General features: G+C 40.4%; 2 protein-coding genes across 27 annotated transcripts in view, besides 14 other annotated features; both read left to right on the top strand.

Moving 5' to 3' along the window:
• Positions 1 to 11,172, top strand: part of GTF2H2 (general transcription factor IIH subunit 2) — a 32,330-nt gene extending 21,158 nt beyond the window's left edge. For 12 of the 24 annotated variants that reach the window (NM_001395395.1, NM_001395393.1, NM_001395387.1 and 9 more), the window contains 5 exons: positions 1,012 to 1,075; positions 4,235 to 4,338; positions 4,895 to 4,997; positions 8,973 to 9,012; positions 10,723 to 11,172. In NM_001395395.1, the coding sequence (NP_001382324.1) occupies positions 1,012 to 1,075; positions 4,235 to 4,338; positions 4,895 to 4,997; positions 8,973 to 9,012; positions 10,723 to 10,842 (431 nt within the window). In that variant the 3' untranslated portion in view covers positions 10,843 to 11,172. Of the gene's footprint in view, positions 1 to 1,011; positions 1,076 to 4,234; positions 4,339 to 4,894; positions 4,998 to 8,037; positions 8,091 to 8,972; positions 9,013 to 10,722 lie in introns of all 24 variants that reach the window. The other 12 variants (NM_001364569.2, NM_001395399.1, NM_001395397.1 and 9 more) reach the window with 4 other exon arrangements.
• Positions 19,587 to 21,051: a transcriptional cis regulatory region, noted in NCBI's record as "-1791/-339". NCBI's record gives its function as "negative regulation of promoter activity" and the evidence as "EXISTENCE:reporter gene assay evidence [ECO:0000049][PMID:11955612]".
• Positions 19,587 to 25,931: a biological region, named in NCBI's record as "NAIP promoter region". NCBI's record gives its function as "regulatory_interactions: NAIP".
• Positions 20,821 to 23,426: a promoter, noted in NCBI's record as "ERV-P promoter". NCBI's record gives the evidence for it as "EXISTENCE:reporter gene assay evidence [ECO:0000049][PMID:19488400]".
• Positions 20,865 to 21,142: a mobile genetic element.
• Positions 21,052 to 21,416: a promoter, noted in NCBI's record as "-338/+7 promoter; SmaI/BglII fragment". NCBI's record gives the evidence for it as "EXISTENCE:reporter gene assay evidence [ECO:0000049][PMID:11955612]".
• NAIP (NLR family apoptosis inhibitory protein) overlaps positions 21,180 to 27,277 on the top strand; it is a 57,174-nt gene continuing 51,076 nt past the window's right edge. For 2 of the 3 annotated variants that reach the window (NM_022892.2, NM_004536.3), the window contains exons 1-3: positions 21,180 to 21,904; positions 22,113 to 22,201; positions 25,735 to 25,860. In NM_022892.2, the coding sequence (NP_075043.1) occupies positions 22,146 to 22,201; positions 25,735 to 25,860 (182 nt within the window). In that variant the 5' untranslated portion in view covers positions 21,180 to 21,904; positions 22,113 to 22,145. Of the gene's footprint in view, positions 21,905 to 22,112; positions 22,202 to 22,973; positions 23,404 to 24,788; positions 24,920 to 25,734; positions 25,861 to 27,277 lie in introns of those variants that run through there. The other variant, NM_001346870.2, reaches the window with a different exon arrangement.
• Positions 21,350 to 21,416: a protein binding site, noted in NCBI's record as "BRN2 site; probe 67". NCBI's record gives the evidence for it as "EXISTENCE:protein binding evidence [ECO:0000024][PMID:11955612]".
• Positions 21,363 to 21,984: a mobile genetic element.
• Positions 21,417 to 21,630: a transcriptional cis regulatory region, noted in NCBI's record as "+8/+226". NCBI's record gives its function as "negative regulation of promoter activity" and the evidence as "EXISTENCE:reporter gene assay evidence [ECO:0000049][PMID:11955612]".
• Positions 21,700 to 21,738: a protein binding site, noted in NCBI's record as "PAX2 site". NCBI's record gives the evidence for it as "EXISTENCE:protein binding evidence [ECO:0000024][PMID:16735463]".
• Positions 21,994 to 22,156: a mobile genetic element.
• Positions 22,159 to 22,889: a mobile genetic element.
• Positions 22,890 to 23,124: a mobile genetic element.
• Positions 23,140 to 23,416: a mobile genetic element.
• Positions 25,413 to 25,931: a promoter, noted in NCBI's record as "non-LTR promoter". NCBI's record gives the evidence for it as "EXISTENCE:reporter gene assay evidence [ECO:0000049][PMID:19488400]".

The following is a 27,277-nucleotide window of genomic DNA, read 5'->3' as shown; positions in this document are numbered from 1 at the left end:
TACTTTTGGCCTTTTATATTACCAGTCGACCTCTCTTTTCCACGGTCTTCTCATGTGTTTAATGATGTCAGTAACTATCAACCTTATTGTGTGTTTCAAGGATTGAGTTAATACAGATGATGCGTTTAGAATAATGCTTGATGTAAACATTCAATACATTTTAGATCTTATGTTTGGCTAATCTTTTTGATTTACTGATATATTTTCTTATTTCATTTTAAAGTTATTTAAATTTATAATTTATTTATTAGAGTCCTTTAGGAATGTTAACCCTTCTCAGTCACCCGATGCAAATATTTTTCTTGTTGGTTATTTGCCTTTACTTTTATTTATTTGTTTTGATATGTAGATACATTTACATTTTTTATGTAATATATCTTTTTAAAAATGGTTTCTGCTTTTCCTGAACATGTTTTCAGAATTTAAAATTGTATATGGAAAACAAATTACATGAAAGATTTGAGCATTTCAAAATTTTAAACATAAAAGCATAAACGTAGATAAAATGGTGTACTATGATATCTTCAGTTTTATCAGAAATGATGTAAAAATTACAACCTCTTTAAAAAGTAGTGTTAATCATTAAGTTAGAAAATATATAGCTGGGCATGGTGGCGGATGCCTGTAATCCCAGCTACATGGGAAGGTGAGGTGGGAGAATCGCTTGAACCCAGGCAGTGGAGGATGCAGTGAGCCAAGATCATGCCACTGCACCCCAGCCTGGGTGACAGAACAAGACTCCATCTCAAGAAAAAAAAAAAAGAAAAATATATATATGAACTTCAGAATCTGAGGTCATATATAGACAGGTCTTTCCCCCATTTCCTCTACTTTTTCTTGTAGCTTGGAATTAGTCAGTTTCATCATGCTATAATAAGCTTATCTGAAAGGCAGTAAAGTGATATTTTGTACAACTTCATTGGCTTTTTGAGAAGAACATTTTTAGGTTCTTAGTCCTAGAATTCTGCTGTTTGCTTGGAAAAAGAAAGTAATACATTTTCTTCTATGAAGGATTTCCTCAGCACACCATTGCTTCTTTATCTGACCAGGATGCAAAACCCTCTTTCAGCATGGCGTAAGTAAAGACCTTGAAAATATCAGTGATAATGTTTTTACATTTTTAATTCCTTCTTTTAAGTTATAAATTCAAAAGATAGGCAATGAAGACTATCTCTATATACTTGTATGGAGTGATCTTCAGGATAAATTACTAAGTAAAACAGTAGTTTGAGAGAATTTTGTAGTATGCTGCTAATCACCTAAGAAGAAAGTAGAGATGTAAGTGGATGTATATACTTGTTTATGTTAATAATAAAAACAATAGTATGGAAATAATAAAAACTTAAAAGGGGTGGAGGGGGAAATTTTTTTTTTTAATGTTTACCTCAGTGAGTGTGTAGGGAAAAGCAAAGGGTTAGACCCTAGACTTTTCTGAATGCATCACTTAATGATAGGGATACATTCCGAGAAATGTGTCATTAGGTGATACCATCATTGTGCAAACATCACAGAGTGCACTTACACAAACCTAGATAGTGTAGCCTACTAACATCGCAGTTATATAGTATAGCCTATTGCTCCTAGGCTGCACACCTGTACAGCATATTGTGTACTGAATAATGTAGGCAGTTGTAATGTAACACCTAGTGTTTGTTTAACTAAACACAGAAAAGGTACAACTAAAATGTATTATTTTATGGGACCACTGTCATATATGTGGTTCATCACTGACCAAAATGTTATATAGAATATTACTGTACCTTGTTTTAACTTCAGAGCTTTGTATTTTACATAATTATAAAACAAAATTAAATTTAAGAGAGTAATTCTTAAAAATCACAAACAAGATTTCTGCCTCCAGCCAAAAAGCTGTAACAGGGACTAGATTTACCCTCCTGTCAAAAAAAGCAGACAAAATATATAAAACAGTGGTTTTCAGACGTTGGACAGCAAGCCTTGCTGATAATGATCCCTGAAAGAAAGGAAACAAATGAGATGGGCCCTAAGAGCACTCCACCTTACTGCCTGGATGGAATTTCCAGGCTGCACACAGAGGCTGGAGATGTTGTTGAGTTGAAGAAACAAAGTTCATCTTTCAAGGAGGCTGAGATGGCGATAATTTTGCAGGTCAGAGTACTGGAGAGGAAAGATCTGCACAGAGAGAACTCTCTGGGGAGCTGCATAGACTTGCTCATGAGTCAGCAGCTGAGCGTTGATCAGCCCTTTTGTGTGAGGAGACTACTGGAAGTCAGGGAAAAAATCACTGGAAAGCAGCAGACAGAACAGTTTCCAGAGCTCACACAGAGAACATTCATGTTCTCACCAGTCTGTATGGAAATACCTCTTAACATGACAGGCATTGAATAGAGTCCACAGTAATGGGATCAAATTAATTCTATCACAAGAACTGGAACCAGAGGCAAAAAGAAAAGAAAAGAAAAATCTAGACTAACAGCTGTTCTAGACCAGCCTACCAAAGTTTAAAAGCAAATTTTGAAGAGATTAAACTATTTCCAAGTTAATGAAGTATATTTCAGAACAAACCCTTAAATATTTGAGGGAATACAAAAAAAAAGAAAAAGAAAAAATCCAGCCCCCAAAACAAAGCAAAATTCACAATGTCTGGCAAAGCAAAATTCATAGTCCCTGGCAGAAATTACCAGGGATGCAAAGGAAAATATGACCCATAAAATGGAGAAAAATCACAGAATGGAAACATACCCAGAAATAACCCAGTTGGTAGAATTAATAGACAAAGGGTTGGGTGCGGTAGCTCCTGCCTGTAATGCTAGCACTTTGGGAGGCTTAGGTGGGCAGATCACTTGAGCCCAGGAGTTCGAGATCAGCACAGCCAACATGGCGAAACCCATCTCTACTAAAAACACAAAAATTAGCCAGGCCTGGTGGCACACGCCTGTAATCCCAGCTACTTGGGAGGCTGAGGTACAAGAATGACTTGAACCCAGGAGGTAAAGGTTGCAGCGAGCTGAGATCGTGCCATTTCACTACAGCCTGGGTGACAGAGCGAGACTCTTATCAAAAAAGAAAAAAAAGAATTAGTAGACAAAGATGTTAGGACAACAATTATAAATGTACTCTGTATGTTCAGGATGTTAGAGAACATGAGAATGGTAAGAAGAGATATGGAAGGTATAAAAAAGACCCAAATCAAACTTCTAGTGATGAAGAATACAGTGTTTTAGATGAAAAATATATTGGCTGGGATTAACAGCAGATTAGACACTGCAGAAGAAAAAATTAGTGAATTCAAAGATAGTAATAGAGACTTTAAAAATGAAGAGAAGGGCTGGGTGTAGTGGCTCACATCTGTAATCCCAGCACTTTGGGAGGCCGAGGCAGGCAGATCACTTGAGACCAGGAGTTTGAGACCAGCCTGGCCAACATGATGAAACCCCATCTCTACTAAAAATACAAAAATTAGCTGGGTGTGGTAGCACGTGCCTGTAATCCCAGCTACTCAGGAAGCCAAGGCACGAGAATTGCTTGAACCTGGGAGGCGGAGATTGTAGTGAGTTGAGATTGTGCCACTGCACTCCAGCTTGGGCAACAGAGTGAGAATCCGTCTCAAAAAAAAAAAAAAAAAAATGAAGAGGGGGAAAAAAATGAATGTAGCATAATTGAGTTATAAGACATACTCACAGATTTTAAAATAGACTTTTAGACCAGGCATGGTGGCTCACACCTATAATCCCAGCACTTTGGGAAGCTAAGGCAGGTGGATCACTTGAGGCTAGGAATTCAAGACCAGCAATATAGTGAGAGACCCCCATCTCTACAAAAAGTTATAAATTTTTTTTTTAAATATAGACTTCTTTTGTTTTTTTTTTGAGATGGAGTTTCACTCTTGGCACCCGGGCTGGAGTGCAGTGGTGCAATCTCAGCTCACTGCAACCTCTGCCTCCTGGGTTCAAGCAATTCTACTTCAGCCTCCCAAGTAGCTGGGATTACAGGCGCCTGGCTAATTTTTGTATTTTTTAGTAGAGATGGGGCTTCACCGTGTTGGCCAGGCTGGTCTTGAACTCCTGACCTCAGGTGATCCACCCGCCTTGGCCTCCCAAAGTGCTGGGATTACAGGTGTGAGCCTCTGCGCCCGGCCAAAAATACAGACTTTTAAATAGATTTTTAAATAGTGTCAAGATTTTAAGGTCAAGATAGCATGCTTTCCCGCTCTAACTTTTCAGATCATTATATATTACCCTTTTTCCCCCTACAGGCATTTGGATGGCAATACTGAGCCAGGGCTTACATTAGGAGGCTATTTCTGCCCACAGTGTCGGGCAAAGTACTGTGAGCTACCTGTTGAGTGTAAAATCTGTGGTAAGAAAACAACTATTCATTATTCAGTAAATCTTGAATGACTTCTTAATCTGTATTGCTGCTAAAATTAATGTAAATGTTAAGTTATTCCTATGTTTCTGGATTTAATCTGTGCAAAGAAAAATAGATTACTTTTTAAATTGAGTGCCCAGTACTCCACTTCCACGTATAAATGTAGCATTCTAGTTTCCTGATCCTCTTTCTGAAAAAAGTATATTCTTTAAAGGCAGTGCAGTAGATGTAGTAGACATTTTTCCATCTCTTACCTTTATAAAGTAAATATATATAAGAATGAAGAATTAAACTAATAGAATTGTCGAATTTTATTTCATTTATAATATAAGTAAGCAAATAGACCGAGACAGGTTGGTTACACACTTAGTGACAGAACTAAGACTCCATCCTACAATCTTCTGTTATAGCCACAGGTAAAATTAATAACTGCCATCCTAAAAGAAACTGAACATATTCTGCTGAAGTTACATCTTTTGGCTTTTCAGCCGTTGTCTTCATGAGGTTTGGACTACTCAACATGTCTCTCTGCTTAATGTGTTAGGTCTTACTTTGGTGTCTGCTCCCCACTTGGCACGGTCTTACCATCATTTGTTTCCTTTGGATGCTTTTCAAGAAATTCCCCTAGAAGAATATAATGGAGAAAGGTATTTCAGTTTGGACTAATTTATATCTGTTATAAGTGGTAAGCTAATGTTTGAATAGATTGTTACTACCTTAAAAAATAATCTGATTAACTTGGACAAGAGTACTTCTAATATGGAAGATGAGATAAAGAATGCCATAGTTATGATTGAAATGACTCGTTGCTAAATAGATCTGAATCTCCAGAAACCAAATAATTTCACTAAACCCACCTATGTATAAATAGGGGTGATGATTGTACTACTAAATCAGTTTTCCAGAAGGAAAAGAAAAAAAGCCCTGATTGGTAGTATTTGCTGATTTCCATGGTTTGAATACTCCCACCATGGCCAATTTTTAGCTACAATTAACAACCAGCTTTCTTGAATACATATTTAACAATATATCCTTTTGATCCAGTACAATCCAGTCCTAGCACACTACTGAAAATAAGAGGCTCATTCAGCACTTTGGGAGGCTGAGGTGGGAGGATCACTTGAGGCCAGGAGTTGAAGACTAGCTGGGGCAACATAGTGAGACACTGTCTCTTAAAAAAGAAAAAAAAAGCTGGACATGGTGGCTCATACCTGTAATCCCAGCACTTTTGGAGGCCAAGGCAGGCAGATCACCTGAGGTCAGGAGTTCAACACCAGCCTGAATGACATGGAGAAACCCCATCTCTACTAAAAATACAAAATTAGCCTAGTGTGGTGGTGCATACCTGTAATCCCAGCTACTCGGGAGGCTGAGGCAGGAGAATCGCTTGAACTCGAGAGGCAGAGGTTGCGGTGAGCCAAGATCGCACCACTGCACTCCAGCCTGGGTAACAAGAGCGAAACTTCGTCTCAAAAAAAAAAAAATCTGGCATAACATAATTTATCTAAAATCTTTAAGTATTTTTACGAATGCTATTTGTGTGAAATACAACAAATAAGGTCTGAAATAGAGGTAGTCAATCCTTTAGAGAATAGTTTTCAGAAAATAAAGATTTACTACTTTTAAGAACATCTAGGATCGGCTGGCACGGTGGCTGACGCCTGTAATCCCAGCACTTTGGGAGACCGAGGCAGGTGGGTCACCTGAGGTCAGCAGTTCGAGACCAGCCTGGTCAACATGGTGAAACACCGTCTCTACTAACAATATAAAAATTAGCCGGGTGTGGTGGGAGGTGCCTGTAATCCCCAGCTACTCAGGAGGCTGAGGCAGGAGAATCCCTTGAACCTGGGAGGTGGAGGTTGCAGTGAGCCAAGATCACACCATTGCACTCCAGCTGGGCGACAAGAGCGAAACTCCATCAAAAAAAAAAAGAACATCCAGGATTTAGGAATCACATTAAACACTTACTGGCTAGCCAAAAACAATTATGTATCCATCTTGCTTTTCACACTTAAATCATTTAGAAGTCATTCAATATCACCATATCTAGATCAATGTTGTTTTTGAAATTGTTGCATATTTCAGGTATAATTATGGTTTATATAATCAATTGCTTCCTGTTGGATATTTAAGATTTTCTTTTTTTGCTATTAACAAATAATGCTTATATCTATATTTTTGAACATTTGTACAAGTATAAATGCATGGTAAATTCCTAGAGGTAAAATTACTGAGTCAAGAGTTTTACATGTTTTGTGAATTTTGATAGATATTGTAAAGTTGTTCTTCAAAGAAGTTTCATTTATTGTTTTCCCACATTTAGCCAACATTAGGTATTATGAAACTTTTTTATATTGGCCAAAACTCACAGGCAAAAGAAAAAGAAAAAAGTCTCATTGTTTTAGCTTGGTATTTATTTGCTTATGGTTGAGGTTAAATGTAGTAAAAATGAAAAACCCAGTACTATAGAAGATAGAGTTGAAGAAATATTCCAGAAAGTACAATAAAAGGAGTAAAATAAAGAGGTTCAAATAGGAGAGTAAAGATAAGAATATTCACTGGTGGAATTATCCAGAAGGTCCAATATGAGAATGATACGAGAAAAAAAGAAAAAAAGTAGGATAGAAAATCATCAAAGACATAGTTCAAAGAAATTTTATATTGAAGGACAGAACTTTCTAGATTGAAAGGGCCTGTTGGCTGGGAAGGGTGGCTCATAGCTCTAATCCTTGCACTTTGGGAGGCTGAGACTGGGGGATCACTGGAGGCCAGGAGTTCCAGGCCAGCCTGGGTCACACAGCAAGACCTCATCTCTGCAACGAAGATAAAAGAAAGGGACTGCCAAGTGCCTAACGTATTGAAGGAAGGCAGACCCCATAATTGTGAAATTTCAGAATACACAATAAACCATTAACCCTAAACATTTCCAGAGAGGAAAAACTAGGTCACACACAAAGGATCTGGAATTAAAATTGTTTGGCTTCTCATTAGCAACACCGGATGCAGAGAGGGAGCAGTCACCTTCAAAGTTTGTGGTGAAAATTGTTACCAACTTAGATACCCAGCCAAACTATCAGTTAAGTGTAGGTAGAATAAAGACATTTTCAGACTTGTAAGGTCTCAAAAAGAGATTTTTCTGGGGAAGGTCTGGAAGAGGTAGGTGATTCAAAGGAACTGAGAAGGAGAATGACATGGGATCTAGTAATATGTATCTAATTCAAAACAGGCTGAAGAACGGCCTAGGATGATGGTAAGGAGAAATTCCAGAATGATACCTGTGTGTCACATATGGGGAACCGTCCAGTTTGGAGACAGTCAGGATGCTCCAGGAGAGAGATCACCAAGGGGATGAAAACTGCAGAACTCCTGATGTATTTGAACATATCGAGAGGACAGTTAGACTATTCCGGAGAAGATTGGGCCTGAATTAGTGTCAATTATATAGGAAACTAACCTTGGGAATAGCAACACAGTATTTCCAGGAAAAAAAAAATGTTTTAAATAGGGGAAAACTTATGGCTTAGCTGAGAATATTTTTATAGGCATAGTAAACTAAACATTGATTATTGTTCTATCCAAAAGGAAGACTTCACTATGTAGAAAGAATTGAGAATGACACTAGTTAAATATTTATGCATTACTGGGTTCAAGATGATTGAAAGATAATTAAATTCTCTTCTTTCATAGTTGGAGATTCATAGCCAAAAACTGTGAAGAATCACAAAGTAGCACTTATTAGAGTAAGTGACTATCAAACAAACGTTAGAAAGTGCTTCTGGCTGGGCATGGTGGCTCATGCCTGTAATCCTAACACGTTGGGAAGCCAAGATAGGAGGATTGCTTGAGCCCAGGCATTCGAGACCAGCCTGGGCAATATAGCGAGACCCTGCCTCAATAAAAAATTAGCCAGGCATGGAGATACATGCCTGTAGTCCCAGCTACTCAGGAGGCTGAGGCAGGAGGATCACTTGAGCCCAGGAGGTTGAGGCTGCAGTGAGCCGTGATAGCACCTCAGCACTCCAGCCTTTGAGACAAAGCAAGACCCTGACTCGAAAACAAAGAAAAATAAAGCATGCTCACAGTTAACCTTAATGAAAATAAAAACTAAATTTTGGGCTGTCAGATGACCTTGTATATACTGTGGAATTTTTTTTTTAATTATTGCTATTCTTTTTTTTTTTTTTTTTTTTTTTTGTGAGTCAGAGTTTTGCTCCCGTTGCTCAGTGTGGAGTGCAATGACACCATCTCGGCTCACTGCAACCTCCGTGTCCTGGGTTCAAGCGATTCTCCTGCGTCAGCCTCCTGAGTAGCTGGGATTATAGGCGCCTGCCATCATGCCCAGCTAATTTTTGTATTTTTAGTAGAGATGGGGTTTCGCCATGTTGGCCAGGCTGGTCACGAACTCCTGACCTGAGGTGATCCACCCGCCTCGGCCTCCCAAAGTGCTGGGATTATAGGCGTGAGCCACTGTGCCTGGCCTATTGGTATTCTTAACTCTTTTTCCTGAAAGTCATGTGTAAAGACAAGTACATATTAATTAAAGGATTCTAGTTAGTGAGATTTTGTTGAACTATTTTAATGAGTAAATTCTAAGAAAAAACATTGTTAAACTTTTTTTTCAGATTTTGTTATGGATGTCAGGGGGAATTGAAAGACCAACATGTAAGTTCTTTGGCTTTCTAAATATTAAGTAATGTACAAGAAATATTGAAATCAATGGTACTATAAGTTTTCAACAGGTTGTTAAAGACCAGGCTCATATCAGTTTATTTCTTGTAAAGATAATGACAATAGGTGAAGGTAAAATAGGAACAAAATAGTTTAAATAGTAGTTTTGTTATTCTGCATTCTAATTTTTGCTATAAAGTATTTTGTAATTCATCTTTTTAAAACTTTTTATTAAAAATTTTTTAATTTTTTTCCTCTTTTTTTAAATTCTTTGATTGTTTTGTCTACTTTGGTACACCCTTGTAAAACATGTAATTTGTCTTTAGCTTTCAAGCTAAACTGCATTTAGTCTGAAAGTATTTAAAATATTTTCTTCATATTATACTTTAAGCTGTGTGATAACACATTGAAATTGTTTAAGGTGGCCACAGATAATAGGTGATTCTTCCATTATGCCAATGAGAAAATACTTTTTTAAATTTTGAAGAGGGCCAACTTTAATAAATAAATTTGTATAGATGTAAATAATATGGATCACTGTCTAGCTTTAATTTTTAATTTAGTTACATGTTCATATTTAAAACTATATATATTATATAAAATAATAATTAGAAGTATTGCTCTTCCACTGTCACAATTTATAAAGTAATTTTATTAAGTTTTATATACCTCTTTGACATCAGTAGTTTACTCTTAACTGGAACCACTTTTTGAATCATTTGACAGTTTTTTGGTTTTATTTTCTGAGACAGACTCTTGCTCTGTCACCCAGGTTGTAGTGCAGTGATGCAATCTTGGCTCACTGCAACCTCTGCCTCCCAAGTTCAAGTGATTCTCATGCCTAGCCTCCCAAGCAGCTGGGATTATAGGCGTGCACCACCATGCCCAGCCAATTTTTGTATTTTTAGTAGAGACTGGGTTTCACCATGTTGACCAGCTGGTCTTGAACTCCTGGGCTCAAGCAATCCACCCGCCTTGGCCTCCCAAAGTGCTGGGATTACAGGTGTGAGTCACTACACCCGGCCTCATTTGAGTTTTTAAGAATAGGTCATTGTCTGTGTTGTTTGAAATTTATTTATTCATTCTTTTTTTTTTTATTATTCAAAGCCAAATACTTCTGAGATTTAGTGATTTTTGAATCTGTGTGTGAAGCTGCCCTGGAAATTTTATCCCAAGGCGCAAGTACTCGTATATGTAATGCTGAAAGAACAAATGTAGTTTTTTCCTTTCTGCTTGTCTTATCTGTGTCATTTGACATATTTTTTTAAAGGTTTACTTGAAAGGGAAATATGTTTGCAATTGTGAGGTCATTCCCTAAGAATAATTAAATCGATGTTAAATTTTTATGCTTCTCTTTTTAATTGAATCAATCAGGTGGTCTTGCTAAGCATTCAAAAGTAGCGCTGGTTTGAAGCTCATATGTCTTTCCTAAACCTAAGAATGAAATGATTGAGAGCGAACTGTAATAGAATAGACTTTAAAGACTCAAAAACAAAACCATTCCCTCATTTCTAAGGGATAGTTTTGGGGAAAAAATTAATTGCCTTAGATTTGAGAATATAGAGTACATTGGAAGTAATAAAGTAGGTAGTGGGAAAAAATTGGTAGAGATATAAAAGAGCAAAGCACACCTTGAATGTCATCTAGCTGTGCTGTAATTAACTTTTGGAAACTAGTTTATCACTTTTCTTCTTTTCACTACAGGTTTATGTTTGTGCTGTGTGCCAAAATGTTTTCTGTGTGGACTGTGATGTTTTTGTTCATGATTCTCTACACTGTTGCCCTGGCTGTATTCATAAGATTCCAGCTCCTTCAGGTGTTTGATTCCAGCATGTAGTATACATTGTATGTGTTAAAAAGAAATTTGCAACTGTGAATAAAAGGACTTCTTTAGAAGAAGCTTCATTTAAAACATGAAAGGATAATCTGACTTAAGAAACTTTTTGCTAAGAAAAGGTAATATTTTATTAAATTTTAAATTTGTGTTGTCACAGAAATACCTGAAATTCAGTAGTACTTCATTCAATTAATTTTGTTTTCTATTATTTTGAGTTATACTGTTTTCAAAGTCATTATGCAGTATGTATAAACTTATAAGAATTAAATTGATGTGATAATTTTATGTTTTTATAATTAAATATAGAATCTTTATGATTTATGTTAATTCATTAATTTAGTGTAAGAAGAAAGTTAAGTCTGAATGTAAATTCAGTGTAAGATGAAAATTTATCAATACTTATGAAATTAGGCTGGGCGCTGTGGCTCACACCTGTAATCCCAACACTTTGGGAGGCTGAGGTGGGCAGATCACCTGAGGTCAGGAGTTCGAGACCAGCCTGGCCAACATGGTGAAACCCCGTCACTACTAAAAATACAAAAAATAATTAGCCGGGCATGGTGGTTCACGCCTGGAGTCCCAGCTACTTGGGAGGCTGAGGCAGGAGAATCGCTTGAACCCAGGAGGCGGAGGTTGCAGTGAGCCAAGATTGTGCCACTGCACTCCACCCTAGAGTGAGACTCCATCTCAAAAAAAAAAAAAGTTATGAAATTAATACATATGAAATGATGTACTGCTACATCCACCAGAGAGGTCTTTTTAGGTTTAACCAAACATCTGGAATATGTTTATCAAGTTAGTACATCTGAAATTATTTGTGGCTATGACCAACAGAAGTCACTTTACATTAAACATTCAAACTCACAAGACTGCCATGGCCATACTTGGTACCCGCTTACTCAGAAGGATATTAAACAGAAACAACAGCCTGCCAGCACAGCATCAAGCAGTCCTCATTAGCAGTGGAAGTCCTTGTAGCAGTCCACTAGTACAATTTGGGTGCAAGGAGATAAGATCCTCCACAGGCATCAAGGAACCAATATCTCTTAACAATTCCATAAACACAGCTTCCAGGTATCCACAAGGGATGTGTCAATTTCAAGAGTCACTACACTCAGGAAAGCCTAAAGCTTGAAGACTCCATTTATTTATAGTGCATCCCAATCCAGATACGTAACAATTAACGAGTTATTTTTACTATAAGCAAAGTTGCCTAAAATCATAGTTGATACTAATCATGGTTAACAGAGCTCTAAAGTTTGACAGAAAGTGAGATTCAAATCCTTTCACTCTCATATGCTAAACCTTTTGCCTTACTCTGGGTCATCAGAGAAATTTAGGTGAGAATGTATGATGAAGTCTGTGTTTTAGATTCAATGCAGATATATCATTGTGCGCAGAACTCTTTCTGGTTATATCCAGTTAAGAGTAAATCAGGCTTTCAGCCGGGCGCGGTGGCTCACGCCTGTAATCCTAGCACTTTGGGAGGCCGAGGCGGGCAGATCACGAGGTCAGGAGATCGAGACCATCCTGGCTAACACGGTGAAACCCCGTCTCTACTAAACATACAAAAAATTAGCTGGGCCTGGTGGCGGGCGCCTGTAGTCCCAGCTATTCGGAAGGCTGGGGCAGGAGAATGGTGTGAACCCAGGAGGCGGAGCTTGCAGTGAGCCGAGATCGCTCCACTGCCCTCCAGCCTGGGCGACAGAGCTAGACTCTGTCTCAAGAAAAAAAAAAAAAGAGTAAATCAGGCTTTCATAGCAAAGGTATGTCTATTTTATGTATATAAACTTCAGGTACTCTAACTTGAGTTTCACTATGAAATTTGTGATTTTTTTTTTTTTTTTTTTTGAGATGGAGTCTTGCTCCATCGCCCAGGCTGGAGTGCAGTGGCCTGCTGTTGGCTCACTGCAACCTCCGCCTCCCAGGCTCAAGCCATTCTCCTGTCTCAGCCTCCTGAGTAGCTGGGACTACAGGCGCCTGCCACCACGCCTGGCTAATTTTTGCATTTTTGGTAGAGACGGGGTTTCACCTTGTTGATCAGGCTGATCTCCAACTCCTGACCTCAGGTCATCCACCCACCTCCGCCACCGTGCCCGGCCGAAATTTGTGATTTTATAACTAAGAATTTTTAGTTAAGAACATTATCAGTAAAGACAACGTAATCCCACCCTGGAGAGTTTATTGGGAGCCCAGGAATATTCATTTTTAATACACACACACACACACACACACACACACACACACACACTGATCAGAGTAACAGGAGTTTCTCTCAGGAGTCATACTCCATGAGCCTGGACCCAGTGGTTCTTTACGTGGAAACAAATTTCACCTATAGGTAACCTGGTAACTGCTATTTTCTTCTGTGTGCTCTGTCAACAAAGTTATCAGTGGCTTGCAAGAGATGCCTTTAATACTCAGAGCATTCTATCTCCCCCTATCTGGTTTAGAAGGAAGGCCTTCATTAGTTACCTTTTGAGAAGTTACTAGAACTCTCTATTAGAGACTTACCCTCCTGACCTGATAAAAAGGGATACCCATGTCTCTATTAACAGCTTTATCTCTTTCTACAGTTTTGGGTATTTGATAAGGTTAAGGCAAAATTTTAGTTATGCTTAAGGAGGAGTTCTTTTTTCACAATTACAGAGAAAATTTTGGTTTGTTGAAGATTGCAGAAACAGCAATGGTAATGTAAGACAGTTTTGGCCTTTAATTTTTTTCTTGAAACTCTACAGTATACTACAATAGTGAAGGAAACTATTAACATGAGAGATCCTTCTGAATAGGATGTCTTTCTGAGTTCCACTATTCAGTTACAAAACTCCTTAATGCTTAAAATTCATTATGAAAATTAGATTTATTTTAAATACTTTCAAGTGTATACATTTTTATTTCATAATTTTTATTGTCTTTTAACTAAAGCATTTAGTTCATTTATATTTACTGTGTACCTTTTATATTTAATAAATATATTTACTTATTAAAAGATTACCACTGATATATTTTATTTATTATAAATATTATATTTATAAATATATTATTTATATTTATATTTATATATTTATATATATTTATATATAATATATTTTAATATATTATATATTAAAATATATATAAATATATATAATAAATATAAATATTTATTAAAAGATTACCACTGATATATTTGGGTTTAAGTCTATTATCTTTGTGTTATTGGTTCCAACAATTCCATCTTTCGTTTTTTTAAATTTTTTTAACTACATATTTGATACGATCTTTTCCTTCTTGCCTTCTTTTTGATTACTTACTTTCTACCATTCTGTGTTTTTCGTCACTAGTTTGAAAATTGTATACTTTGTTTTTATTCTTTCAGTGGTTACCCTAGAAATTACAACAAACAAAAATTGCAACAACAATAAATTACAACAAGAAGAATTTTTTTTTTTTTTTGAGACAGAGTCTCCCTCTGTCGCCCAGGCTGGAGTGCAGTGGCGCGATCTCAGCTCACTGCAAGCTCCACCTCCCGGGTTCATGCCATTCTCCTGCCTCAGCCTCCCGAGTAGCTGGGACTGCAGGTGCCTGCCACCACGCCTGGCTAATTTTTTGTGTTTTTACTGGAGACGGGGTTTCACTGTGTTAGCCAGGATGGTCTTGATCTCCTGACCTCATGATCCATCTGCCTTGGCCTCCCAAAGTGCTGGGATTACAGGCGTGAGCCACCACGCCTGGCCAACAACAAGAATTTCTTAACTTAGGTACCCTAGGAAGTAGAACCTGAGGCAAAGATGAAAGTATTGTTACTTTATTAGGGAGGGACAGATCTAGGGGGGTGAGAGTGTGGAAGAAAAGGGAAAGCAAAGCAAGGAAAAACGTGATGCATTGTGTTACTGCAGTGACCAGGCTTCATGACAAGCTGTGACGAGATACAGGAGCCTTCCAGCAAGTGTGTTCACTTAGAGTGTGGGGCTTCTCCAGAAGGTTTATAAGGAGAAACTGCCCCTCTGAGCAGTCCATTGAAGGGAGGAAGGAGAAGTAACTTAGTTTCCTAAGTTCTTCCATTTCCCGTTGATCCTAGTTTGCCCACAGGGCTGTGTCATCTCGTCCTTTGGTAACTGCTCAGGAAGCCAGATCTCGTGCTCAGTGGTGTGGCATTGCATCTACTTCTAGAAGGATTTCTCAATACTTTATAACTTCCTCATGTTTCTGGTCATGTTTGTGTTCAGCTATATCTCTAGAACGGTTGGCCAATTCATAGCATGAAATGATTTCATGAGTGGTGACAAAGAAAGGGTGCAATCAGCCCTTGGGGAGTGGGTTAGTGGAATCCCAGTCCTGAGGCCATTAGTGGGTGGCAGAGTTTAGGAGAAAAGGTAAGAAGTTTCAGTCCTTGGGCCCTGTAGTAAGGAGAAAAAGGGTACAGGAGGTTGTCACACTTCTGAGAAGTAGTCTTAGAGTGCCCTAGTGCCTGCTTTGGATCCAGTTCTGTAAGGGCAGAGGATTCATTATTTCCAGGTAATTTAAGTATGTTCTGGGGAGAAGTGTTACAAGATGGACTGGGGACTCGGCTGGGATCCTGATGGGATCTAAATTATTGATTTCACCTGACTGAATTGCTATTTGCGTCACACCTCAGGACCCTGGAAACAATACACAATTTGCCCATTCATTAATTTATTAATTCACTCAACAAACTTGTACATCTGCCATAAGTCTGACACCATCCTAGTTATCAGGGATGTAGATAGTCAAAAGAAGATGTAAACCTAACCTCATGCATCTGTGAATCTCCCCATCTAAAAAGACACAGCCTTGTAAAGAAGCTTGTGTGAAAGTGCTAACGACAGACATGCCAAGTGTTAAGGGGATGCAGGAGAGGCGTGGTAAAATGGGTTGGGAGGCAGCTCAGATGTCTAAAGGGGTCAGGCAGACAATGCAGATAAGTGAAAGAGGGCCAGTTGATGCAGAGTGGGGACATCTGGAAAGCACCCGCCCCATCTAAAGGAGGCAGCCTCTGAGAGTCTGGGGATCAGGGATAGAAGGGAGATGTACTTTTCACTGTACATCCTTTTGTATTTTTTAAATTTTGTTACTTAATTCAAAAAAATGTAAAAATAAAGTGAGGTAACCATTATTTGGCCCCAGCCTATTTTTTTCTTCTGGGAATGATACTTAAAGAGAAACTAAATCTGGATTTTTTTTTTTTTTTTTTTTTTTTTTTTTTTTTTTTTTTGAGACAAAGCCTTGCTCTGTTCCCCAGGCTGGAGTGCATTGGTGCAATCATGGCTCACTGCAGTCTCGACCTTCCAGACTCAAGTGATGGTCCCACTTCAGACTCCCTAGTAGCTGGGACCACAGGTGTGTGCCATTGTGCCTGGCTAATTTTTAAAAAGTTTTTTTTTGTAGAGACAGTGTCTTCCTATGTTGCCTAGGCTGGTCTTGAACTCCTGAGCTTAAGTAATCTGCACACCTCAGTCTTCCAAAGTATTGGAATCACAAGCGTGAGCCACCATGCCCAGCCGTAAAAACTGGATTTTTAAAGTGAATTCTCCCAAGTTTGAGATGTTAGCCTCTAATTTAGAAAAACACAGAGGCTAAATAAAACTTATCTTCAGTCCACCAGTTGACAAACTTTGGCCTGGCCTGTCTCTTTTCTATCGTTTATCATCAGGGCAGATAATCTTTTAAGTTTCAGGTGTTACACTTTCCTGGGATATACTCCTCTTAGGGGATAATTTATTTACTTTTTGTTTTTGTTTTTGTGACAGAGTCTTGCTCTGTCAACCAGGCTAGAGTGCAGTGGCATGATCTTGGATCACTGCAACATCTGCCTCCCGGGTTCAAGTGATTCTCCTGCCTCAGCCTCCCGAGTAGCTGGGACTACAGTCATGTGCCACCATGCCTGGCTGATTTTTGTATTTTTAGTAGTGACGTGGTTTCACACCATGTTGACCAGGCTGGTCTCGGAACTCCTGACCTCAAGTGATCCACCCACCTTGGCCTTCCAAAGTGCTGGGATTACAGGTGTGAGCCACCGTGGCCAGCCTTAGGGGATAATTTAGGTTTTTTGTGTTTCTGTTTTAAATTTAAATTTTTGTTTTTTTGAGGCAGTATCACTCTGTCTCTCAGGCTGGAGTGCAATGGCACAATCAACTCACTGCAGCCTTGAATTCCTGGGCACAAGTGATCCTCCCAATTCAGCTTCTCAAGTAGCTAGGACTACAGGTGTGCACCACCATGCCTGGCTGAATTTTTTTTTTAAGAGATGGACTCTTGCTGTGCTGTCCAGGCTCGTGTCAACTCCTGGCCTCAAATGATCCTCTCTCCTAGGCCTCCCAAAGTGCTGGGATTACAGACGTTAGCCACTGTGCCCAGCCTAGTTCAAGTTTTAAGCATTAAGAATTGACTCTTTGGAGGAATAGGGATCTTTTAAGGATCTCTACAGTCAGTGACTCTAAATGTAGTGTTTGGACCAGTAAGTAGCATTAGCATCACCCAAGAAGTCATTAGAAATGCAAATTCTTGGCCAGGCGCGGTGCCTCATGCCTGTAATCCCAGCACTTTGGGAGGCTGAGGTGGGTAGATCACGAGGTCAGGAGTTCGAGACCAGCTTGACCAACATGGTGAAACCCTGTCTCTACTAAAAATACAAAAATTAGCCGGCCGTGGTGAAGGGCATCTGTAATCCCAGCTACTCAGGAGGATGAGGCAGGAGAATCACTTGAATCCAGGAGGCGGAGGTTGCTGTGAGCCAAGATCGCACCACTGCACTGCAGCCTGGGCAACAGAATGAGACTCCATCTCAAAAAAAAAAAAAAAAGCAAATTCTTGAGCCCCATCACAGGCCTGTTGAATCAGAAACTCTGAGGATGGGTCTAGCAGTCCGCTTTAACAAATCCTCCAGGTGGTTACCATAAATGTTGAAGTGTGAGAGCTACTGCCTGTAATCCCATTTAGAGAGGTACATAGGTAACTTAAAAACAGGTCCTGATAAAAGAATTCTACTAAACTTAAAAAACAAATTCAGGTAACTTTATAAACAAACAAATCTCGGCCGGGCGCGGTGGCTCACGCCTGTAATCCCAGCACTTTGGGAGGCCGAGGCGGGCGGATCACGAGGTCAGGAGATCGAGACCATCCTGGCTAACACGGTGAAACCCCGTCTCTACTAAAAATACAAAAAATTAGCCGGGCGTGGTGGCGGGCGCCTGTAGTCCCAGCTACTCGGGAGGCTGAGGCAGGAGAATGGCGTGAACCCGGGAGGCAGAAATTTCAGTGAGCCGAGATCACGCCACTGCACTCCAGCCTGGGTGACAGAGCAAGACTCCGTCTGAAAACAAACAAACAAACAAACAAAACAAATCTCAAACATGGAATTATTTTTTCACTTCTCTCTTTTGTTTTGTTTTTTTTTTTTTTTTGAGACAGAGTCTCGCTCTGTCACCCAGGCTGGAGTGCAGTGGCGCGATCTCGGCTCACACTGCAATTTCTGCCTCCCGGGTTCACACCATTCTCCTGCCTCAGCCTCCCGAGTAGCTGGGACTACAGGTGCCCGCCACCACGCCCAGCTAATTGTTTTTTTGTATTTTTAGTAGAGACGGGGTTTCACCGTGTTAGCCAGGATGGTCTCGATCTCCTGACCTCGTGATCCGCCCGCCTCGGCCTCCCAAAGTGCTGGGATTACAGGCGTGAGCCACTGCGCCCGACCTTTTTCACTTCTCTTAATGCTCTGTAAACATTAATGTATTTATATATGTACTTAGAATTTTAAAAAATCAATTTTATTGAGTTATAATTAACATACAGTAAAAATGCTCCCATCTTGAGTAATTCCATGCCTTTTGACAAGTGTTCTGTACCCATGCCATGACCACCACAATCGAGAGAGAACATCTTCATCACTCCAGAAGGGCTCCTTTGCAGTGAGTACTCCCTAGGAGTTCCAGCGGCCGGTGACATTGATCTGTTTTCTGTCACTGTAGATGAGATTTGTCTGTTATATACAATTTTTAAAAATTAAATGATATGTATGGCTTCTTTTGCTTAGCATAATGTTTTTGAGCTTATTCATTTGTTGCATATATCAATACTTTGCTTCTTTTTACCACCTGTACTTCATTTATGGATACGTTGTTTATCCATGTGTTTATCCCCAATGGACATTGGGTTGTTTCTGATTTTTTGGTTATTATTATGAATAAAGTTGCTATGAACATTATTGTATAAATCTTTGTGTGTTCATGTGTTTTCATTTTTCTTGGGTAAATATGTAGGAATGGAATTGCTAGATTGTATGGCAAGAGTATACTTAGCTTTCCATGACACCAGTGAACTGTTTTTCCAAAGACATTGTATTAATACCATTTTACATTCCCACAACTAATGTATGAGCTTCCAGTTGCTCCATATCCTCAACTAACAGTTGATATTGTACAATACAAATGTTAACTTTTAGAATATCTTCACAACTTTAGAGTAGATAGTGATTTCTTAGGACACAAAAACTATCAATCATAACAAAAATTAAAATTGGACTTCATCAAAATTAAAAACTTCTTTTTGAAAGACACCATTAAGAAAATGAAAAGATGGTTAACAGACTGAGAGAATATATGTGCAATGTAAATATCTAACAAAGGACTAGTATGCAAAATATATAAAGAATCCTTATAATTTAGTAATAAAAAGGAAAACACGCAATTTTTAAATGGGTCAAGAATTTAATTACGGCCAGGTGCAGTGGCTCACACCTGTAATCTCAGCACTTTGGGAGGCCGAGGTGGGTGGATCACGAGGTCAGGGGTTCGAGACCAGCCTGGCTAACATGGTGAAACCCTGTCTCTACTAAAAATACAAAAATTAGCTGGGCGTGGTGGTGGGCGCCTGTAATCCCAGCTACTCGGGAGGCTGAGGCAGGGGAATCGCTTGAACCCAGGAGGCGGAGGTTGCAGTGAGCTGAGATTGTGCCACTGCACTCCAGCCTGGGCGGCAGAGCGAGACTCTGTCTTTTAAAAAAAAAGAAAAATATTTAATTACCTTACCAAAGAAGATACATGAATGACCAATAAGCCATTAAATTAAAACTTCAGTGAGTATACACATATGCCCTGAAGTAGCTAAACTTTAAAACACTGCCCTATGTGTGTGTACTTTTTAGCTAAAAAAGTGTTTGAAAACAGTATTATTTTGAAACTCAAAATTCCAAATCCTCTCTTCAAATTAGGTAGTAGTGTCACTGGAAGTAAAAGAGAAGTTACTTTAACTGCTAAAGAGTATCCACTAAGAATCTACATCAAACATCATGTTTAATGCTCAAACTTTAGAAGAATTTATACCAAAAGTCAAGAATAAGATAGGATATCTATCTTCATTATTAAGCAACATTATATTAGAGGACCTAATCAATGCAACAAGGCAATAAATAAAAGACAAAACTGTCATAATCAGATACTACAAACATCTAAGAAAATTCAGGGGGATTTACAGTCATATATTAAACAGTCCAGAAGGAGTCCTATACATCATCAATGAATATTGAGAATAAAAAATAGTTTTTAAAACCCCTCCAATTTATAAGGGCAACAAAATGTACAAGGTACTAAAATAAATGTAATGTGTATTTGGGTATAAATACAGCAACATAATGAAAAGGTTTATTGGGGAAAAAATTACAGGGAGAAGGGTCAACAACGTGAAGAGGTTCCCCTGCCATCTGGACTTCTGGAAAAAGACCTGCTGGTCTAGGCACAGCTGGATGCACCATGGAAAGTGGTTCCAATAAACACTGGCACTGTAACAATTGTGTATGTTGATACAAAAAGAGGGAGCCAATGAATACTTGGTCGATTATTTAACAATTGCTTCTCTGCTGAAGAAATGGCCTTGTTGGACTAGAGCTTAACTGTGGTTCACATACTAATGCTGCTATAACAGCTAGAAGCCTTACTAAGAAATTTGCTAAACCACCAAAAAGAGGAAATGAACCTTCTAGGATATCTGGATTGCCTTTTCTTAAAAATCTAGTCTTGGCTGGGTGCTGTGGTTCACGCCTGTAATCCCAGCATTTGGTGAGGCCGAAGTGGGCGGATCACGAGGTCAAGAGATCGAGACCATCCTGGTCAACATGGTGAAACCCTGTCTCTACTGAAAATACAAAAATTAGCTGGGCGAGGTGGCATGTGCCTGTAGTCCCAGCTGCTGGGGAGGCTGAGGAAGGAGAATCACTTGAACCCAGGAGGCTGGGTTTGCAGTGAGCTGAGATCACGCCATTGCACTCCAGCCTGGCAACAGAGCAAGACTCAGTCTAAAAAAAAAAAAAATATATCTAGTCTGTATGGCAGCACAACATCAGGTAAAAGTACAGACTAGCCAGATCACTGGTTAACCTTAACCCCTATGTGCTTGAGTTTCCTTATCTGTAATATGGAGATGATATAGCAATAGCTGATTTTGGACTGTTAAAGGAATTAAGTGGACACATGTAAAGTGCTTAGAATTGTGCCTGGCAAGTAGTAGGCTGCAATATTGTGATATAATAAATATATATATTTGATCTTCATCCAGTTCCTGGCACAGATCTCCAGAAACCCTTGTAATTTCCTGAGTGACAGGGGTGATAGAAACATCTTTTATTAGAATACTTGGTCTTGGTTCCTGACACAAGAGCTTCTAAGACCTTTGGAATCTCCAAGTGATAAGAGTGTATGACAGTGAGCTAACTGGTGGCTGGGATCCTTTAGACAACTTCAGGATGGGGGCTATCCCCTGAAAGACTAAGGCATGATTAGAGGTCTGGGATTTGCAGCCCCACGCCTCGACCTCCAGAGAGGGTAAAAGGGCTGGAGATTGATTAACCACCAGTTGCCAGTGATTTAACCAATCATGCCTAAGTGATGGCACCTCCATTAAAAAATAAACCACAGGTTTGGAGAGCTTTCGGTTTGGTTAACCCCAACCACATACCAAGAAGGCGATGCACCTCAAACTGCATGAAGACAAAAGGTCCTGTGCTCACCTGGGACCCTTCTGGACGTTGCCCTGTGTACCTCTTCGACTGCCTGTTCATCTGTATCCTTTATAATAAAGCAGTAAACATAAGTAAAGTTTCTGAGTTCTGTGAGCCATTATAAGAAACGATCGAACCTGGGATTTTCCTTTCGGAAGCCGCTCTCTCTCACAAGGGAGAGAGCTGTTCTCCTTTTTCTTTTGCGTGTTAAACCTCCGCTCCTAAACCCACTCTTCGTGTGTATCGTGTCCTTAACCTTGTTGGTGCGAGACGACGAACCCCGGGTATTGACCCCAGACAACAATGCCACTTCATATTGGGGACTTCGTCTGGGATTCCAAGGTGCATTCATTGCAAAGGTGAGTAAAGGGGCGGACCTCAACTCTGTCCTTTGATTTCGAGGCTCTTGGCCTCCATTTTAGAATCAAACCAAACCAAATACTGGGCCCCCTTCTGCTTCTGTGAATGAGAAAACTCTGCCTTCACCAATTAGCCATTTAAAAATTATGAGCGTGGCTGCCAGCCTTACAAGTTTTGGGGGACAGGCTTGCTGGGGAGAACATGGAGAACCCCCCAATACCCACGGGCTGCTGGGCATATTGGCCATGTTTGAACCAGTTTCCTTTCACGGAGGACCAAGCTGTCGTGTGGGGCTGGAAGAGGTCCTGGAGCAACTGAGGATTTCTGGCTGGGGCTACCTCCTGGTGCCATCCGAAGGCTTCTGGACTGACCCCAGCCTCCGGCCACCCTAAGGGGTGTCGGCAACAGGACCTCCAACTTTCCTATCATAATTCCCTCATTTCCTATCCACGACCACCATGTCTCCTAACCTCTCTCTGTATGCAGTACTGAGGGAGTTTTACAGTTCAGGGAAGTAATCTTGTTAGGCAAGAACAAAGACTGCTGTAGTAACCAGGGATATAGCACAGGGGCATGCTGTTGTGATTTTCTAGGAACAGAGGGTCTCCTCTCCCACCACAGTGAGCGTCACTCTCTGCCCTTGCTCTGGAAAGCACATGGCATGTCAAGGTCACTCTGCCCTTTGTCATAGTAAGATTAGGGTGGGGCGCCCAACCTTCCCCGCGTGCTATGTAAACGTCACACCTGTTCAAACCAACCTGTGGGCTCTGCGCAAATCAGACGCCGCCTCCTCAGGCCTACCTATAAAATCTGGTGCAGTCCACCGCAGGCCGGATTTTCCTTTCGGAAGCCCCTCACAAGGGAGAGATCTGTTCTCGTTTTTCTTTCTTTTGCCTATTAAACCTCTGCTCCTAAACTCCCCCAACCCCCAAGAAAGAAATTATCGAACCTGAGGGGGTTGCAGATACCCATGATTTGTAGTGAACTCAGACAGAAGTGTGGGTACCCTGAGGTCCTAATAGTTGTGGCTGGCATCTGAAGTAGGGGGCAGTCTTGGGGGCTGAGCCCCTAACCCGTGGGGTCTGCACTAACTCTGGTTAATTAGCATCAGAATTGAGTAAAATTGTAAGACACTCAGCTGCTGTCTGTGGAGAATTGGAGAATTGGTTGGTGGAAAACCCATATATTTGATGTCAGAAATGTGAGTAGAGAAATGGTTTTTCCTTGATAGGCTCTATGTAAATTTTAGTTCATGTTTTTGGTAATAAATACACAATATTACTGATTCTTAAAAGTATAAACCCAGGAAAATTAAGAAAACAAGAATGTCAAGTCCAACAGAGTTTAAAGGTAAAAAAAAATAAAATAGAACAGAAATGGGACCAGTAGCACATAGAATATTTTAACACATTCTTGGAAAGTAGAAACTATATGGACTAGTAGTCAGGAAGGAAGCAGCTCAAGGAAACCGCTTCCTGAATATGGAGTCTCCTATGAGAGACTATCTGCCCTATGGAGAAGCTTGGAGTAACTGCGGACACAGGATGCCAGATAGGAAGGAGGGCTGGAGTGACATGAAGGGCTGAAAATTGAGGGACTAATTGGAAGCCCGTGCACGGGACAGTCAGCTCTCTCTACCTCATGATCAGAATATTTGACACACAAGTGTTTACCCTGGGGCAAAAAATTACAGGAGTCTTCCCTGCTTCCCCCAAAATTGAACACATTGCTTTCTCTTAGCTGACCTAGAGAACCAGTGTGGGCACTGGCACCCCAAAACTAAGAATCCTTTTAAGAAATGGTGATTTTATGTCCAAGGAACGTTCCAAGTAAGTTTTCGGCTGCTAGCTTTGTCTTTACAAGTAACGGGCCAGGCCCAGTGGCTCATGACTGTAATCCCAGCATTTTGGGGGACTGAGGTGGGCAAATGGCTTGAGGTCAAGAGTTCAAGACCAGCTTGGGCAACATGGCGAAACCCTGTCTCTACTAGAAATACAAAAATTAGCCAGGTGTGGTGGTGCATGCCTGTAGTCCCAGCTATTGTGGGGCTGAGATGAGAGGATCACTTGAGCCTGGGAGGTAGAGGCTGCAGTGAACCGAGATTGTGCCACTGCACTCCAGTCTGGGTGACAAAGTGAGACCCCATCTCCAAAAACAAAACAAAACAAAAAAAACCCCAAGTAACTTGAAATCATTTTCTGAAATCTTTCTCTGACATTCTGACATTAGGGTAATTCTTGTTCTCCATAGAGGGAAAGGCTCAGGTTCAAGTCCCACTCCTGTGGCTCCTGATTTTTTAATGATTAGTTTGACCAATGTGTTTTTAAATGACTTAATTTTTAAACATGAGTTGAAAACCCAGGATCACTACACATTTGAGGAAAGTTGATAATATGAAAAGTAAACACCAAGGTAAGTGGTAAAAACCTTTGAGGAAACATAATTCAGGAAACAGGAACTTAAACATTAGTATCGTACAGCAGATTCAGGAAGATGGCACTGGTTAAAAAAATTGACACTATGAAAATAAGGCACAGAGAAAAGAAAGAGCTGTGGGAAATTATAATTGCTGAAATTTTAAACTAGATTGGAGAACCGGAATATAAAGGAGAGGACAGCTGGGTGCGGTGGCTCACACCTGTCATCCCAGCATTTTGGGAGGCTGAGGCCGGCAGATCACTTGAGCCCGGGAGTTTGAGACCAGCCTGGGCAACAAGGTGAGACCCCCATCTCTACACAAAATAAAATATAAAATCAGCTGTGCATGGTAGCACACGTCTGTAGTCCCAAAACTTGGGAGGCTAGGTGGGAGGATCACTTGAGTCCAGGAGGTGGTGGCTGCAGTGAGCTGTGATTGTGCCATTGCACTCCAGCCTGGATGACAGAGCGAGACCCTTAGAAAGTAGGAAAAGAATATATGAAAAAAAAATAAGTGATCAATTAATTACTCACCTGAATAGTGGGAATACCAAAAGAGTAAAAAGAGAGTAACAGACAGTAGGAAGTTATCAAATAAATAATAGAAGGTAATTTCCCAGGCTTGATGGGAGACCCAAGAGCTCAGATTGAAAATGCCCATTGAATACCCAGCCCAATGAATGTAGAGAGGTCTACACTTAGGAGAAAAGATCCTAAAAGCTACCAGAAAGATAGAAACTGTTACTATAACAGAAATAAGACACTAGCACCTTAACTATTAACCAATCTTAACAAACTAGAATAAAGGCCGGATGTGGTGGTTCATGCCTATAATCCTAGCACTTTGGGAGGTCGAGATGGGAGGATCGCTTCAGCCTGGAAGCTTGAGGCTGCAGTGAGCTAGGATCGTGCCACTGTACTCCAGCCTGGGCGACAGAGTGAGACACTGTCTCAAAAACAACAGAAACAAAAAAACTAGAATAAAATACTTCTGGTGTGAGACTCTGTAGGTTTCATTACTCCTTTTGGGTCCTGATTAAATCCTGTTGACTCAAGACCTTAGAGCATTTACTGGTAAAGTCTCTGACTGCGCGATTTTTTTTTTGCATTTTAGTTCCTTAAATATTTTCTCACTGCTTCCTACTAAAGGACGGACAGAGCATTTGTTCTTCAGCCACATACTTTCCTTCCACTGGCCAGCATTCTCCTCTATTAGACTAGAACTGTGGATAAACCTCAGGTAAGTAAATTACTATCCCTGGCAAAGGTGCTTTTCTTCCACACCTAAACCTATGGTCCCTTCTTTGTCTTGCTATTGTTTCTCTCTTTGGAGGCAGGATGGTATGGAGGAAAGAGGACAGACACTGGAGTCACACAGACTTGGGTTTAAATCCTAGCTCCATGGCACAGTTGCCTCAATGGCACTCTTAGCACTGTAGTCAAAGAATATTAGACCTGGAAAGGGCCTTGGAAATTACTTCTCCTCCCCCAGAAACAGCCTCTAGACTGGCATGATTGACCACCAAACTTCGTTGTGTCAGACAGGATCAATGTCTGCTGGTCTGCTGCAACTCTGTACTCATTTATCTCTGGGGAGGCCTGAAGCCTTGGTGCTGTTCCTTGGCCAAACCTAAATGAAATGTACTAGCCAGTGATTAATAGAGTCCTGTGCTGGGGTGGGAGACAGACCAGGGAGCAGCCTGTTTCTTGCTTCTTTCTTTCTTTTTGGAGATGAAATCTCATTGGCTTTGAACTTCTGGGCTCAAGTGATCCTCCCACTTCAGCCTCCCAAGTAGCTGGGATTACAGGTGCATGCCACTGCCCCAGCTTGACTATACCAGCTTGTTTCTGGTTTTGAGCCCTGGTATGCAAGCTAGTGTTGGCTACCTGATCAGAGGAGTATAAAAGAGCCTCAGATGAGGTTACAGTTCTCTTGAGACCAAGGTGTCTTGCATGTATCATCTAGCTGGTTCATTGCTTAAAGATGAAGCACATCTTCCACATCCTCTGTGGCTGCAAAAGGACCCTAGGAACTGGGTGTGGTGTTTCACTTGCCTTTTGGTTTGTTGGGTTTTTTTTTTTTTTGTATCTATCCTTTACCTTTATTAAAGCCTTATGTGAGGATACTATGCGGAGTCTTCTAAGTCTTTTCAATGATCCAAACCTGTGTAATTGATGAAGAGGGTACTGTGAATAGGATCATTACTTTTTTTTTGTTTTTGAGACAGGGTCTCTCTCACTCTGTCACCCAAGTTGAGTGCAGTATCTTGATCACAGCTCACTATAGCCTCAACCTCCTGGGCTCAAGAGATCCTCCCACCTCAGCCTCCCGAGTAGCTGGGTCTATAGGCGCACACCATCACGGCTGCCTAACTTTTAAAAAAATTATTTTGTAGAGCTGGAGTCTTACCATGTTGCCCAGGCTGGTCTCGAACTCCTGGGCTCAAGTGATTTGCCTGCCTTGGCCTCCCAAAGTGGTGGGATTACAGGTGTGAGCAACTGCGCCTGGCCCCAGGTTTTTTTTTTTCTTTTTTTTTTTCGAGACAGGGTCTCACACTGTTGCCCAGGCTGTAGTGCAGTGGCACTGAAGCCTGAAACCTCTGCCTCCTGGGTTCAAACAGTTCTTGTGCCTCAGCCACCCGAGTAGCTGGGATTAC

Source organism: Homo sapiens, chromosome 5 (assembly GCF_000001405.40).
Source record: "Homo sapiens chromosome 5, GRCh38.p14 Primary Assembly".
Classification (NCBI taxonomy): Eukaryota; Metazoa; Chordata; class Mammalia; order Primates; family Hominidae; genus Homo; species Homo sapiens.
The sequence above is the reverse complement of the archived record's forward strand: the minus strand, read 5'-3'. Positions and strand labels throughout refer to the sequence as shown.